Source organism: Homo sapiens, chromosome 1 (genome assembly GCF_000001405.40).
Source record: "Homo sapiens chromosome 1, GRCh38.p14 Primary Assembly".
NCBI classification, from domain to species: Eukaryota; Metazoa; Chordata; class Mammalia; order Primates; family Hominidae; genus Homo; species Homo sapiens.
In genome coordinates, this window is record NC_000001.11 from 199728425 (window position 1) to 199744988 (window position 16564).

General features: G+C 36.4%; 1 annotated feature.

Moving 5' to 3' along the window:
• Positions 13799–14998: an enhancer, noted in NCBI's record as "CDK7 strongly-dependent group 2 enhancer chr1:199711351-199712550 (GRCh37/hg19 assembly coordinates)". NCBI's record gives its function as "activates an origin of replication core promoter dependent on BRD2, BRD4, P300/CBP, MED14 and CDK7 cofactors, with strong dependence on CDK7, by STARR-seq in HCT116 cells {active_cell/tissue: HCT116}" and the evidence as "EXISTENCE:reporter gene assay evidence [ECO:0000049][PMID:35650434]".

A 16564-nucleotide genomic window follows, 5' to 3' on the forward strand; every position in this document is an offset into this window, starting at 1 on the left:
CCCTACCTCTTACTACTATCACACTAGGTATTAGGTTCCAACATATGAATTTTGAGAAGGATACAAACATGGTGACCATCGTTAATAATAATGTACTGTATTCTTAAAAATTGCTGAGACAGTAGATTTTTTTAAGCATTCTCACCATAAAATAAATAATAAGCATGTGAGGTTACATATGTTAATTAGCTTAATTTAACCATCCCACAATGAATACATATTTTAAAATGTCGTGTTGTATATCATAAATACACACTATTTTTATTTGTCAACTTAAAAAATAATTTTTCAAAGACTTATAAAGTAATAATATGAAGGCAGTGTGATATTAGAGCAAGGATAGCCAAAAAAAAAAAAAAAATGAAACAGACAAGAGAAACCAGAGACAGACTAACACATATGCTATAGCTGCTTAATTTATTATAAAATTAGCATTGCAGAGCAGCATGGAAAGAACGATGTCTTCAATTCATGGTGCTGGGTCAATTAGGTATTCTTATGGAAAACAATTAAAACTTGACAGCTAACTTAACAGCTAATCATATATTTTTAAAAAGTGATTTCAAATGGATTCCAGACATGAATATGAAGGGCAAAACATATATAAAACGAAATGTAGAATATTTTCAAGATGTTAGAGCAGAGAAATATTTATTTTAAATAGAACACAAAAATACCAGTATTAAAGAAAATTTAATAAATGACACCAATTAAATAAAGAACATTTATTCATTTAAAAAAAAACAGTAAAAGAGTGTAAAAACATGCCACAAAGTTGGAGAAGGTATTTATAACATGAATAACTTTTAAAAGTTCCTATCCAGAATATTTAAACAAATTTTATAAATTAATAAGAAAATAACAGACAACCTAATAGAAAAATTCTCCCCTCAAACCTCCACCAAAAAAAAAAAAAAAAACCCCTTGTCAGGTACTGCTCAAAAGAAAAAATATCCTACTGGTCAATTGACATGAAAACTTCAAAACTGATCACTGATTTGAGACTTAAAACAACAATAAGATAATACTACAGGTCCACCAGAATGGCTAAAATTAAAATGGCTGACAATACCAAGAGTTGAAGTAGAAGATACAGAGCAATAATTAATCTCATACTTTGTTTGTGGTACTTTGAAAACCAGCTTGGTTTTATTGAAAATATACTTACTTTATAATCAACAATTCCATTCCTAGCAGATTCCCTAAAATAAGAGTTAGCAAACTAAAGCCCTCAAGTCAAATCCAGTCTACAACCTGTTTTAGTAAATAAAGTTTTATTGGAACAGCCTTGCCTATTCCCTTAGGTATGGGTGCTTCTTCACAAATTTGGGTAGTTGTAACAAAAAAAGCCATAGGACCTGCAAAGTCTAAAATATTTACTCTCTGGGGCCCTCTACAGAAAAAGCTTGCCAACCCATGCCCTAAAGAAATGCATGTGCATATATATGCAACAGAAGATTGAGCAAACATGTCACTCAACATTTTTCTTAATAGCCCCAAACTAGAAGCAACTCCAGCATCCACTATCCAAGAGTAGAATGGATAAATAAATCGTGGGATACTCATGTAAATATTAGAATACTATACAGCAATAATAATGTACAAACTTCAGTTATTACTAACAATATATATGAGTAAATCACATAACAAAATTTAAACACAAAATAATTCATACTTTATGAGTCCATTTATAAAAAGTCCAAAGGCAGGTAACACTGAATCAGTTGTTGTTTTGTTTTGTCTATCCTTGCTCTAATACCACACTGCCTTCCTATGATTACTTTATAAGGCTTTGAAAAATTATTTTTACATTGACAAAAATGGCATATATTTATGGTATACATGACATTTTAAAATAAGTATTCATTGTGGGATGGTTAAATCAAACTAATTAACATATATATCAGTATTTAGGCATCCTCATTTAGTTGGCAAAGAAAAGCAAATAAGCAAGTACTATAAAAGTTGGAATCACTGGTTTCCTTTAGTGGAAAGGAATGTATTGGGATTAGGAAGGAACACGCAGGGAGCTTTAGAATGCTGGCAACTTTCTGATAATTGTTTGTTTTATAATTGTTTCAGCTGTTTACTTATAATATGTATTCTATACTGTTATGCAATTTTCAGAGGAAAATAAGGTTAAAAAAAAAGTGTGGAGACTTAATAAGCACTGTTCGGTGGGTGCCACTTGTCATTTATGAGCTTTACTCTGGAGTGATTTGCTGGTCCATTTTGGAGACACCCTGTTACGTAGGATCTTTAGGTCTTTCCTCTGGGGCTGCTCTGGTTCTCCAGCAAAGACTCTTCCAACCTCCTGCCTGAGGGGTGACACCTGGACTACTAGAATTCTGGGAGTTGAAAATGAACAGTTACCCAGCAGCAAAGGGCAGAAAAAGGCATCTTCGAATCTACTTCTTAAACAGTGTTCAGTAAATTCTTACTTTAGCTCTCTACGCCCTGTTATTTCCACCTTATACCCAGCACTGAGCATTTCTGAGCCTTTTGGGAATTCTACCTGTAACTGGGTCTGAGCTTCCATATTTTGAGTAAGATTTGGCTTCCTCTGGTGTAAGTCAGTTGTCCCTCATCTGTTTGCTTTGTAACATTCACACAGACTCTGCCTACTCTCATCCCTCCATCTTGTTGGTTATATTTTTTACAAATCTCTTTATTGTATTTTTCACTGAGGTTTCAAAAGAAATAAAATTAGATGCATGTATTCAATCTACCATCTTTCCACAGATGGAGTTTGATTTCTTAATCTCTAAAATGAACATCAAGGGCAATCAGGCAGGAGAAAGAAATAAAGGGTATTCAATTAGGAAAAGAGGAAGTCAAATTGTCCCTGTTTGCAGACGACATGATTGTATATTTAGAAAACCCCATTGTCTCAGCCCAAAATCTCCTTAAGCTGATAAGCAACTTCAGCGAAGTCTCAGGATACAAAATCAATGTGCAAAAATCACAAGCATTCCTATACACCAATAACAGACAAACAGAGAGCCAAATCATGAGTGAACTCCCATTCACAATTGCTTCAAAGAGAATAAAATACCTAGGAATCCAACTTACAAGGGATGTGAAGGACCTCTTCAAGGAGAACTACAAACCACTGCTCAATGAAATAAAAGAGGACACAAACAAATGGAAGAACATTCCATGCTCATGGATAGGAAGAATCAATACCGTGAAAATGGCCATACTGCCCAAGGTAATTTATAGATTCAATGCCATCCCCATCAAGCTACCAATGACTTTCTTCACAGAATTGGAAAAAACTACTTTAAAGTTCATATGGAACCGAAAAAGAGCCCGCATTGCTAAGACAATCCTAAGCCAAAAGAACAAAGCTGGAGGCATCATGCTACCTGACTTCAAACTATACTACAAGGCTACAGTAACCAAAACAGCATGGTACTGGTACCAAAACAGAGATCTAGACCAATGGAACAAAACAGAGCCCTCAGAAATAATACCACACATCTACAAGTATCTGATCTTTGACAAACCTGACAAAAACAAGAAATGGGGAAAGGATTCCCTATCTAATAAATGGTGCTGGGAAAACTGGCTAGCCATATGTAGAAAGCTGAAGCTGGATCCCTTCCTTACACCTTATACAAATATTAATTCGAGATGGATTAAAGACTTAAATGTTAGACCTAAAATCATAAAAACCCTAGAAGAAAACCTAGGCAATACCATTCAGGACATAGGCAAGGGCAAGGGCTTCATGTCTAAAACACCAAAAGCAATGGCAACAAAAGCCAAAATTGACAAATAGGATCTAATTAAACTAAAGAGCTTCTGCACAGCAAAAGAAACTACCATCAGAGTGAACAGGCAACCTACAGAATGGGAGAAAATTTTTGCAATTTACTCATCTGACAAAGGGCTAATATCCAGAATCTACAAAGAACTCAAACAAATTTACAAGAAAAAAACAAACAACCCCATCAACAAGTAGGCAAAGGATATGAACAGACACTTCTCAAAAGAAGACATTTATGTAGCCAACAGACACATGAAAAAATGCTCATCATCACTGGCCATCAGAGAAATGCAAATCAAAACCACAATGAGATACCATCTCACACCAGTTAGAATGGCGATCATTAAAAAGTCAGGAAACAACAGGTGCTGGAGAGGATGTGGAGAAATAGGAACACGTTTACACTGTTGGTGGGACTGTAAACTAGTTCAACCACTGTGGAAGATAGTGTGGTGATTCCTCAAGGATCTAGAACTAGAAATACCATTTGACCCAGCCAACCCATTACTTGGTATATACCCAAAGGATTATAAATCATGCTACTATAAAGGCACATGCACATGTATATTTATTGCAGTACTATTCACAATAGCAAAGACTTGAAACCAACCCAAATGTCCATCAATGATAGACTGGATTAAGAAATTGTGGCACATATACACCATGGAATACTATGCAGCCATAAAAAATGATGAGTTCATGTCCTTTGTAGGGACATGGATGAAGCTGGAAACCATCATTCTCAGCAAACTATCGGAAGGACAAAAAAAAACCAAACACCACATGTTCACACTTATAGGTGGGAATTGAACAATGAGAACACTTGGACATAGGAAGGGGAACATCACATACCAGGGCCTGTTGTGGGGCGGGGGGATGGGAGAGGGAAAGCATTAGGAGATATACCTAATGTAAATGACGAGTTAATGGGTGCAGCACACCAACATGGCACATGTATACATATGTAACAAACCTGCACATTGTGCACATGTACCCTAGAACTTAAAGTATAATAAAAAAAAAAGGAAAAAAAAAAGAACACCTGGAACTCTTAAACAAAACAAACGAAAAAAATGCATGTCCATGAGTAATCAGTAAAACATTCAGCAGGTTGTGTGAGCCAAAGGCCAAATTACTTTTTAAAAATAGTGCTTTGTTTCTGTAATGTGAGGCTGGTATTTCTAATTACCAAATCACCTACTATTATTAATAGAAAATATTTGAGATACATATACCTCACCTAATGCTCCCTGGAAAATCTGCTTACATGGTTAGGGCTAGTGAAAACAAGGGATTCTGAATGTAAAAGATCATGTAATCGGATTTAATTGCTCTCTGTTGGTGCAAACCAATTTAGGATAAACTGGGAATTCATAAACAAAAATTAATATAACATTGCCAATTTTGAGTGACTAATGTGGACCAAGTCCTTTACAAAGGCACCACTATGAGATATTTATCATGATAACGATTTTGGAGATGAGAAAATAGAGACTTAATGTGACTTCCTCAGAGTCATATTTCTCTAAGGAAGTTACTAAAATTTCATTCCTTATGTATATAATTTGAAAGCTTCTTTTTTTTACTACTATAGCATGAATAAAGTATACAAATATTTAAAAAAATAAATAATAAATAAAATGAACATCAAAATAACTATCTTGTGTGGTTGGCATAACTATTAAAAGTGATTTATGTATGTAAAGCAAACAGTTTCTTTCCTGTGGCTGTTAAAATAGAAGGTCTTAAATACAGATAAAACCACACCATCTATACATACACACCACACACACATACACACATACACACACCCTCACATCCTCCTCCTTCCCAGGAAGATCATGTAAATTAAATCAAAGGTAGAATTCAGATGTGGATTATTCAGATATGAAGCTTACTCTAAGGGTGGGCATTCTTAGTCCATGATGAGAAAATATAATTGACTACAGGAACCCTGAGGATATTTAGATAAGCAGCATCAAACTTTCTCTTAAAAGATACTATTAAAACAGGACACACATTCATAATCAGTTGTGTATCTGGGGAGATATTTGGATTTGAATAGGACGATATTAGTAAGCATTAATAGAACGTGCTCTATTGCCTGACTTGTAAAATCTAGTCGTAAAAGAAGATCACAGTTTCCTGTTAATTAGGACCACCTACAGTGTTGGAAACCTTTTTGGATGATCAAAGAGGTGGCATACTTAACCCAGGAGATGTTGACAAGCTCTTCAGCTAGTTAGCATAACGTAACTTTCAACTAAGTGCTTGATGTACAAGCTCTTTTATGCTCTGCCATAGTTTGGGTTTAATAGTTTGTGAAGTGATATTCCTTGCATAAACAAACGACAGTTACATGGAAATTTCATTTGTACTAGTGCCTTGTCCCTGTGTCAATTAATTTTCAATATACTTTTGTAATATTTCTTTCAATTATAAGAATGATAAAATAAGATTATAAGAATGATAAAATAAGATATTAAGAAGGTTACTTTCATTTTTGAGTCTGCAACACAATATATAAAGATCTTGAAGGGGACGGGCTCAGATTACATAGGAAATCATCTATTTCCCCCTTGCCCACTCACAACAACTGAAATAGTGGTCCTTAATGTTAAACTTCAGGGAATTGAGAAAAATGTCTTCTTAGTAAGGGGCCTCAGATCAATGACTTCCTGAGCTTGAAAGAAATTTTTTTAAAGCCTCTGGTCTATATAAATAGGAAGCATAATAGAAAGATCATTTCCTTTGGATCAGATAAACATGAGCTCGAATCCCCACTCCATCACTTATATATCTGCATGTTTTGAGAGATTTTACTACATCCCTGTGTGTGTACAAATATGGTTCATAATACCAACTTCCAGGGTTGTGTGGAGGCAAAAAGAAGAAAATGCCCATAACGACCCAACACATTCGGGCCCTTAAGAATTTGTAGCTCCTACTAATAAACAGGTGCTCAATCTGCATTCTTTTTTTCGCTTAAACTAAAAACAAAATTTCTTATCAAGGAAAGTGTCGGTGTATTGGTAGAAAAAGAAATACAGTATCTGAAATAAATTTATATATGGTATCCTTAAAATGATTCCCCTTCCTTCAACCTACTAACATCTATTAGTCAATTAAACTCATTTTACTAACAAACATCTATTGAGCACTTAGGTGCCTAACTCAGCTCAAGAAGCTGGAGCTGTGCTTGGAGACCCTTGAACATCCCTTACTCAGCAGATCGAAGGGGCTTTCTGGACACTTTCTTCGTGGCGATGCGTCCTTTTTCCACTTCCATAGGGAATTGGTATCTGTCATTTTCCATACCCATGAGGTAATTTACAGCAAGAGAAGGGAGCGAGAGTATATTTTCTCCTTACATTTTGCACTATATTGTGAGAATGTTTTGATTTCTTGTTGCTCTGTCATTTCTCTGCTGGAGTATAGTGAATGGGCCAAATGAAGAAGTAAAAGGGTAGAGTGGATAACGAAACTGCAGATCATTTTGGTTACTAAAAAGGGGACAAGGCACCCCAAAGAGAGAAGCACTGATCAGGTGGTGTTCATGAAACGTCTTCCCTGCCTCCTCAGCCCTGCCTGCCCCACTCTGCCCTGCTTCTGCAGTTCAGGGACCAGAGGTTAAGGTGTGCGGAGGAGTTTGTCAGGAAATGAGGCCGGAGGAGCAGGCTCCGGCCAGACTGGGGAGATTAGCCTTCATCCTCTGGCATCAGAGAGCCAGCAGAGGTCTTTAAGAAGGGAAGGCATGTGATCAGATCAGCTTTTCAGGATGATAACTCTTTATTGTGGAAAATGGACTGTGGAGGGAGAGACGTGTTAAGAGAACCAATTAGGAGGCTGTTGCATTATTGGGCTTTCTTTTACAATAACTATATGTTATTCTGTAAAGTGTCTCTAAGGACCACAAAGTGTTGTAACTTTTAATGTTTATTTAATATTCAACACAATTTTACTCCTAAGTATTTTCCTTCACTCCTCATTAGTATATGTTTAAATGCTATCCTAATAAAAAAATTCAACATAAACTTTAAGATATTTATGGTGCTCTCAACTATTCTAAAGTAATTAAATGAATAAAATATGCATGTTTACTTTGCATATGTTAGGGAAGTCTTGATTTTGAATTTAAAAACTATATAAACACTTGTTTCCTTCCTGTTCCATTGTATAATTTATTTTCCAACATAAAACTAATATCATAGGTTTAGATATTGACTAGGACCTTTATTAAGTTGTACAGTATCAAATTATCTTACACTAGTTATCTTCATTGATAGCATTCTATAACCAGTTTAAATAAATGTATGTGTATATATATATGTACACATCTTTGAGAATCCCTTTGGGATTTGAATAGGACGATATTAGTAAGCATTAGTAGAATGTGCCCTATTGCTTGACTTGTAAAATCTAGTTGTAAAAGACTAGATTTTACCACTGAACCTAAACCATCTAAATAAGATTACTAGCAGACTTAGCTCAGTTGCACTTTGGAAATTCATTCTTTTTAGAATTTGTAAAGTATTCATAAAAGCTGAAAAAATGTGCAGAAATTTGCATTGATGGATGTTTTCTTATCCTCCATCAGGAAATGATGTACTTGAAACTCATTATAGATCTTCATAGAAACTCGACTGAACGTGCCTTGGGCTTTGTGCTCATCAGCACATACCGAGTTGACTGCATAATTCATATCTCTTGTGTCACATTTAATGTATAACATGTATTTCCTGTTAATTATGAAAATAAAAACACATCATATATTCTAAGAGCATAATTACAAAAACACTGCAAAAAGTTATGTTTGAAGTCTATTAGCCAATTTCTCTTTAGAAGATATAAAATGGAAGAGTTATTTTCTCTTGCTTTTTGAAAATCAGTTTAACAATGCTTCCCTTTTTTTCTTCCACCTGACTTTACAGAATGATATAGAGGCTCCATAACATAGGAAACAGGAAATAATAGAGACAGAGGAGTTACCAACTCTATCATCTCGAAACATTTAGACAAATAAATAAAATGAACTCAGGACTTTCCAGGACAGAACCAAGATTGTTCTGTGGATATGAAGACCAAAGCAATTCACTGATTAGTGATTAATTATTTTTTCTCTTTTAGAGGCATTTTTAAAATATGTTTGTAGTACATGGAAAAACAAAATTCCATAAAGGCCCTGATCCTATTAGCCTCCCAAAGTCAAAATTATCTTAGATAACATCTCCCTTTATAAAGAGGAAATATATTATGTAATTAAAATTCTAACGACTTAATAATCATAATCTGGCTGGAGAAAACTTTTAAAGTATCATATAGGCCTCATAAATCTTGAACTGCATGTGAAGTTATCAAGCATACTGCAGTTTAAGCTTTCACACCTGCAAAATATACAATCTAAGCTCTAACTGTATGAGGCAGCCATCATTCTTTGGCTCTTTGGTTACTAATTAAACAGGCATGATATTAAAAATTAATTAGCTACCTAATTAATATTACATACTTGTCACAGGTAGTTATTGTGCATCTTTTCCCTGGACTCACAGGAGAGAAACTTTTTGGCATTAAACTTTGGTAGGTTAATTTGATTCACTGCTTAAGAACATAAACTGGATTGTTAGATTGGCTGTCATCAAATATGAAATTTGTTACCTAGAAGCTGATGAGACAGACTTTGAGTTTTCTAAAATGACTCACTTTTGCTACCAAAAATCCTATCTAAGAAAATGATATGACTTGTTTATTAATGCATACATTTATACATTTATTTATTTATGGATTCATTAATTTATCTACAAGTGCCATGAGAAATTAACATGATTTATTAAAACGAATATAAAAATTTCTATTTGCAGGAATGGTTTATAGGTTTTATCTGGTCAATAGCTTCCAATCTGTTGGCATTAGCTGCCTACCATACTCATACCAGTTCAGCAAATAATACTATTAACAATAGCTGTTATTGTTATTATCATAGTAATAAGTTTCCAAAAGTGAAGAGGGGGGAGGGTGTTCTGTGTGCCCAGTATTTGAAGACCTTGAATAAACGATTACATAAAGACCTTGAATAAACTATTACAGACAGTGTTAGAGAAGCTTACACAAAGAACAGTGGAGGCACCAAAAAAAGAGGAACCCATTCTCTTTGTTGAGCCATGGAAGAAATATCTCATGATGAGTCAAGATGCCCCAGAAGAATTCCAGTAGCTGTGATTAGTGAGCAGTGGGATACCTGACCTAGGACCTGAGGACAGAGGTCTGGGCTTGAGATATAGATTTATGAGTCACCAAATGATTCTTGAAAGATGCGGAATATTGTCTAGGTCGACTAAGATGGAAGGGCATCCCAGGCAAAGACATCAATTTGACTAAAAGAACATCCTTATTGACTTATTTTAGATTTCATCATGATAGAAGCATTAGATGTATTTCCTAGGTGAAGAGAGGAAATAATAAAGCATTAGAAACCTGATTGGCTAGAATGAAACATTAAATTATGATTTTATTTATTTATTTATTTTTTAAGGAGACGGAGTCTCACTCTGTTGCCCAGGCTGGAGTGCAGTGGCGCGATCTCAGCTCACTGCCAACCTCTGCCGCCCTGGTTCAAGCGATTCTCGTCCCTCAGCCTCCTACGTAGCTGGGATTACAGTCATGCGCCACCATGTCCGGCTAATTTTTTGTATTTTTAGTAGAGATGAGGTTTCGCCATGTTGGCCAGGCGGTTCTCAAACTCCTGATCTCAGGTGATCCACCCACCTCGGCCTCCCAAAGTGCTGGGTTTACAGGCGTGAGCCACTGCGCCTGGCAATTTTATGTATTATTAATTTATTTCTCAGAGATAAAGTATGTCACCAAACTTACATATTTCATATTTGTATTGCACATTTACATATGTTAGTTATCCTAGTTAATTTAAACAACTCTAAAATTCTATTACTCAGTAAATGATCTGAAGCAGATATTTCCTTAATTCAATGATAACTGCTACTTTGTGATCATTATAAATTTGATACACATTTGAGGTAATAACTCTAGTGTATCGCTTTTATTTAGTAATGAAAAAATCAGAATGACATTTTAATAAAGATTTTCAAATCCACTTATATATTTAGATGTTCCCAATTAATGGCATTCTTAAATATGTGTAGCACAAATACACAAGCTTTTAGGGTTTCCTTAAGTATGTTAAGGCATAGTTAAAAAAAAAAAAACTTAGTTATTTTTATTAGACAAAATTGTGTTTCTGAGCCTGGGTGAACTGCTTAAAATTCCATATAAGTTCTACTTCTTTTCAACTGAAAAAACATATTCTCCCATAGGGATGTGGTAAGAATAAAATGGAGATAAAGCAAGTACAACATGTAAGTGTTAATAAATCGTGACTGTACCATTATTAGAGTATATTATTATGGAATGGTGTATATGCTCTATACAAGAAGACAAAAAAGTACTGAAATCACGCAATTACATTCTCAAATTTAAATGTAACACACATTAGTTGAGGATCTATAGTTCCTGCTTTTAAGGAATTTACAATTGAGTGATGTAATCAAAAAAAGATGTCAAGGTTCATTTGCATTAAGAAAACAACTAGTGTACATGGTATTGTCTAATTGAAATCTGGCCTACCAGCATTTTACAAATGATGGCTTTTGTAACACAGAGAAAATATTAATAAAATCTAATTTAAATTTCTTTAGAGAGCAGCTTTTTAAAATAATTTTAAAATTATGGAATTAATTATTTGATTGGATCAAGTAGTGCAGTTTAAAGGGTTTATCATATCTGTTTATAAATGGTTAATTATCTCTTTGACTCAAAGAGTTTCATTTTAAAGCTCCAGTTGAGACTGTCACTCTCATTCGCCAAATGAGAGACAGATTGCAGTTAGGAATATTCTCATTTGTTTCAGAATGAAATCCTCTAGCCCATTTTTTCCTTTTTCATCCTTCTTCCTGCAAAGATTTATTTTCTAATTTGTTTCCTCTTTTTCCCATGATTGATCATTTAGGGCCTGTTATTTCACATTCATTAAGACCTAGGTGAGTGCAGAGCGTACCCTGCAGAGGACATTGAGGAATTTTAGCTCAGTAGCTACTGGTTGAAGTGGGGTTTATTTTGCCGTTGTTCTGCTGTTGTGGGATTAAGAGGTTTATTTCACTCATCACTTTTCTCTATCTTGTCTGTTAACATGTTGGTAAACTTTCATAAATGCTTTGAGTATTCCCTGTACCAAGGATTAGGCAGACAGTAAGAGACAATAATTATAAAGCAATGAGATAAGGAATTATTCCCAAGCACGGGCTGATAAAGCATAGAAGATGGGCTCAACCCACCTGGAGACAAGCTGAGGGGAAGGTATTTTGAAGGACATGACACTTAGGGTCTTAGAAATGAATAGATATTACCCAGAAGTGTGAAGTGTATGTGTGTGTTTGTGTGGATATAAGCTGGGGTTGGGAGCAGGGTGGGCTTTTCCGCAAAGTAGAAATGCATGAGCAAAAGGCACACACAGACATGAAACAGTGTGATGCTTTTGCTGTTTGGTGGAACTGAAACTGGAGAAGTGAGTAGGTATGCATCAGATTATGAAAAGCATTGTATGAAATGTTGGGATGTATAAATCATGTCATGTATTTTTAGAGAAAGAGAGAAATAGCAGGAACCTACACTCACAAATGCCCAATCCCACCTCCAGAGGTTCAACAAAAGTATGTCCAAAAGTTCATGAAAAGAAACATGCCATATTTATTTTTCCTCTATTTATATTTATTCCCTAGGTGATTGTGTTTAATCTTATGACCTTAAATACCATACGTATGGTCTTAACTCCCACATATTCATCTCCAGCCTCACCCTGTTCCCTGAACTCCAAACACATCCAAATGCCTACTTGATATTCCCAATCAGATGTCGAATGAAGACCTCAAACTTAAGTCCAATACAGAAATCCCATCACCACCTCCCAAACTGTTCCTCCTACTGTTCTTCTCATCTCATTAAATTAAAACTCCAACCTTCTAGTTGCTCAAGAAAAAACATTGCCTCTCATCTCCTTACCTGACCTATCAGGATATCTTGCTGGCTCCTTTCTGAAATATAACAAGAAACCAAAAGTTTCTCACCTCCATTGCTACCAACCCAGTTAGAGCAACTATCATCTCTCACCTAGATTATTCCAGCAGTCTCCCAACTGAGCCCCCTGCTTGTAGGCTTGCCCTTCTAGAGCTGATTCTGCCCACATGGCTCCTCCCAGGGGCTCCCCACCACGCTTAAAGCCCAGAGTCCTTACCATGGCCTGAGACGACTCTTGCCTTGGCCCCTGCTACCTCTCTGACCTTATCGCCTTCCCCTCTACGCATTGCTGACTCCACTCCAGCCTCACCAGCCCTCCCTTGCTGTTCCTCAGACACACCTCTCACACCACTGCTTCCAGACGCATTCACTTGCTATTCTCTCTGCCCAGAGAGTGCTTCCCATCGTGCCTCTTTCTCATTTCTTTCAGATCCCTTTTGAAATGTCATCTTATTGTTGACTTCTGGTCCACTCTGTATAAAACAGCAATAGCTCCCTGCACGTGTACGCATGCGCACGGGCACACACACACAGATGCACATGGATGCACACGTACAGAGAAAGAAAAGAAACAGCTGACTATCTCCTGTAACCTGCTTTATTTTACCACAGTTTTCACCATCATCTGCCTGTATATGTATGTGTATGTATACATCTATATCTACACTAGTAGTTTATCTACTGTCTGTTTCTCACCACTAGAATAAAAGTGCCATGTATACTGGCATTTTGAGCTATTTTGTTTGCTACCAGATCCACAGCTCTTAAAATAATACAATACTCAACAAATACTTGTTAAATGAATGAATGCCGCTGGGTGCGGTGGCTTGTGCCCATAATCCCAGCACTTTATGAGGCTGCAGTGGGCAGAACACTTGAGCTCAGGAGTTCAAGACCCGGCTGGCCAACATGGCGAAACCCTGTCTCTACATAAAAGAGAAAAATTAGTAGGGCATGGTGGTGCACACCTGTAGTCCCAGCTACTCAGGATGTTGAAGTGAGAGGATCGCTTGAGCCCAAGGAGGTGGAAATTGCAATGAGCTGAGATTGTGCCACAGCACTTCAGCCTGGGTGACAGAGCAAGACCCTGTCTAAAAAAAAAAAAAAAAAAAAATGAATGTGAGGTTCCATCCCAAATGGATACTCTGGGTTCCTTCTGCCTCTATCCTCCTACCTCCTACGCTTGCATCTCCAACTTATAAGCTTTCTAACAGCAAAAACCAAGTTTCATTCATCATTCATTCTTCATCTGTATATCTCAAGCATCCGGCACAGTCTCTGGTATATCTTGCCATTCAAAAAGAGACAAAAGTGGTTTCACTGAGGCATATACACTTCTGAAACACAGTAGCAATACGGTCTTCATTACTTTAGCCAGAAATAACTTCTTTATCTTTTAAACCCACTCCCTAATCACAACTCTCTCTCTCTCTAGCTTACCATTCTAATGATGAGGACAGCATGACTCAAGGCAATCCATGCAGGAAGATGAATCATAGTCTCTTGCCCAACACAGCAGCCCAAAGCCCACTTCTTCTCCTCCATCACATGAGGCATGATTCTGCAAGGGGACCAGAGGTAGATTTACTGTGAGGCTAACGAAGTTTAAGTAAGAGGGCTCCTCAATTTCAGACATCTTCTAAAGCTCCATGCTTAACCATTTATCCACAATTACTAAATCTACTCATCTTAAAACTCTAAAAACCTGGTTGAAGTGGGAATTTTCCTAATACAAACTGAAAAAAGCAAATGTCACCCATCCTGCTTTGGAAGGTGCCTGTACTTGTCACCTTCTGACCTCTTACCTGCTTGGCCATATCTGTGTTCATCCTTCTACTTCAATTCTACCTTGTTTAGAAAGGTCTGACCTTGACATTTTCTAAATTTAGATTGGTTTTCATCTCTTTTCTTATGATTACACATAATAATTCTCATTTTCATTTTTCTTCAGAACTAGTTAACAAGTTTATTTCTTGAAGATTTTGCTTCATACAATAATCAGATAATTTTTATTCTGCCAGGTTTCCTTGTGATTCATTTTTCTCATTCACTGAGTCATAGCAAGTTTCATACTATTGTTTTCTTTTCCTCCTTCTACATTTCTTTTTCTAATGTATAGGCTCAACCGTCAACTTCTCTCAGTGGAATCTCTGATTTATGGAGGAGGCTACCGTTTGTCAGCTTTATCGTTCTTTCTCTGGACTGCTATTCACTGTTACGTTTCCTTTCAAGGCCTGACACAGCACTTGACATTAGAGGCGCAAGATGAATAAATGAAATGTAAATCTAAGGGAAGTTACCTTTGAATGGCATATGGTGCCTGCTCCCAGAAGGAGTTAAAAGCTGCCTGTTCATTCATAAATTCAGAATCCCTAAATTGTATTATTCATAGACTCACCCGTAACATAAAGTTGGTATAAATTTAACATGTATAGAGTGAAAGTTAGAACCTGGCTTGCCCTGTGGACTTCATCTAGAGTCAAGAAACTCAGGGGATTCTCAGTTTCTTTAAAAGATTTTTAAAAAGAAGAACTTCAGGTCTTCAGAGTAAAGAGCACTTAAATTTATAAGGTTACACATTCAGTCAGCCAGGATTTTATTTATTGATGTCCAAGGCTTAACAGGAATGAATCAAATGCCCTGACATCTAAAATGTGGGATTTCTGGTTGTCTCAGCATTTTACATCCCTATAAACTTCCTTCTAGAACATGATCTGTATTTTAACCAACTGATTTTTGTAGAATTTCAGGAGGGAAAAATGGTTTTACCTTAATAACTTACAAATCAATACAAAGAACTTCACATAGAGCTATTTTCACAATTTTCTCTGAAAGAGCCCGTGTTTAATATATGCATAACACATTTCCTCGTGCTAAGTAGAATGCTACATTCACGCTGTTCCATATTTCCTTGCCAGTCCTTTTCCACAGAGCCTCTAATTTGCTCAGAAATCAATGAAATAATAGACACAAATGAATGAGAGAGCCACTTCTCTCTGGGTCTTCTTTCCAACTGGGCCTGGGCCTAACATAAGGGAGTGACATCCTTTCTCACCAAGACACTTGAGATTTTTTTTTTCTCCTTTCACTTCTGACTTAAAATTCTTATCATTGAGAGTCTTGTCTGGGTCAGAGTGGGGCAGGTACTACCAACAACAGGGCTTTGAGCCTGAGGTCTACTTTTTGCATTAAAAAGGGATATTAGTCAGAGTGAGGGAGAACTTAAAGTCATATGAACACCAAACTGGAATTTTCTCTTTGATTTACCCAAAAGAGTAGAAGAGACTTAAAAAGGGAATACTTCTCTCCATATAATATCTGTATTGTTCAATTATGTGTCCATTAATTATTAAATATTCTTTACCAGAAACAAAAAATGGCCTTTATAGTTACCCCCAATTTTCCTGATAATGTGAATTACTTTTTCAAAGAGCAAATGAAGAGACAGACTTCCTTTTTTAAAGGAAAGCAAAAGTGTCACCCCCATAAATATCGAAGGGCAGGGGAGGGGAGGTTCTTGGGCTGTGGTTGATGAAGAGGCAGGGCACAATGAGCAGGCATGGGGTCCAGGGAGCAGAAGCAATGAAAAGACCAAAATGGGAAGAAGAATCTTATATCTCACTCTGCAGGGCCATGTGCTGAGCCACCTGTGAGTGGAGTGACGGTAGGCTGTTGGGGAATAGGGATCCCAAGGTAGACACCTAGAGGTCA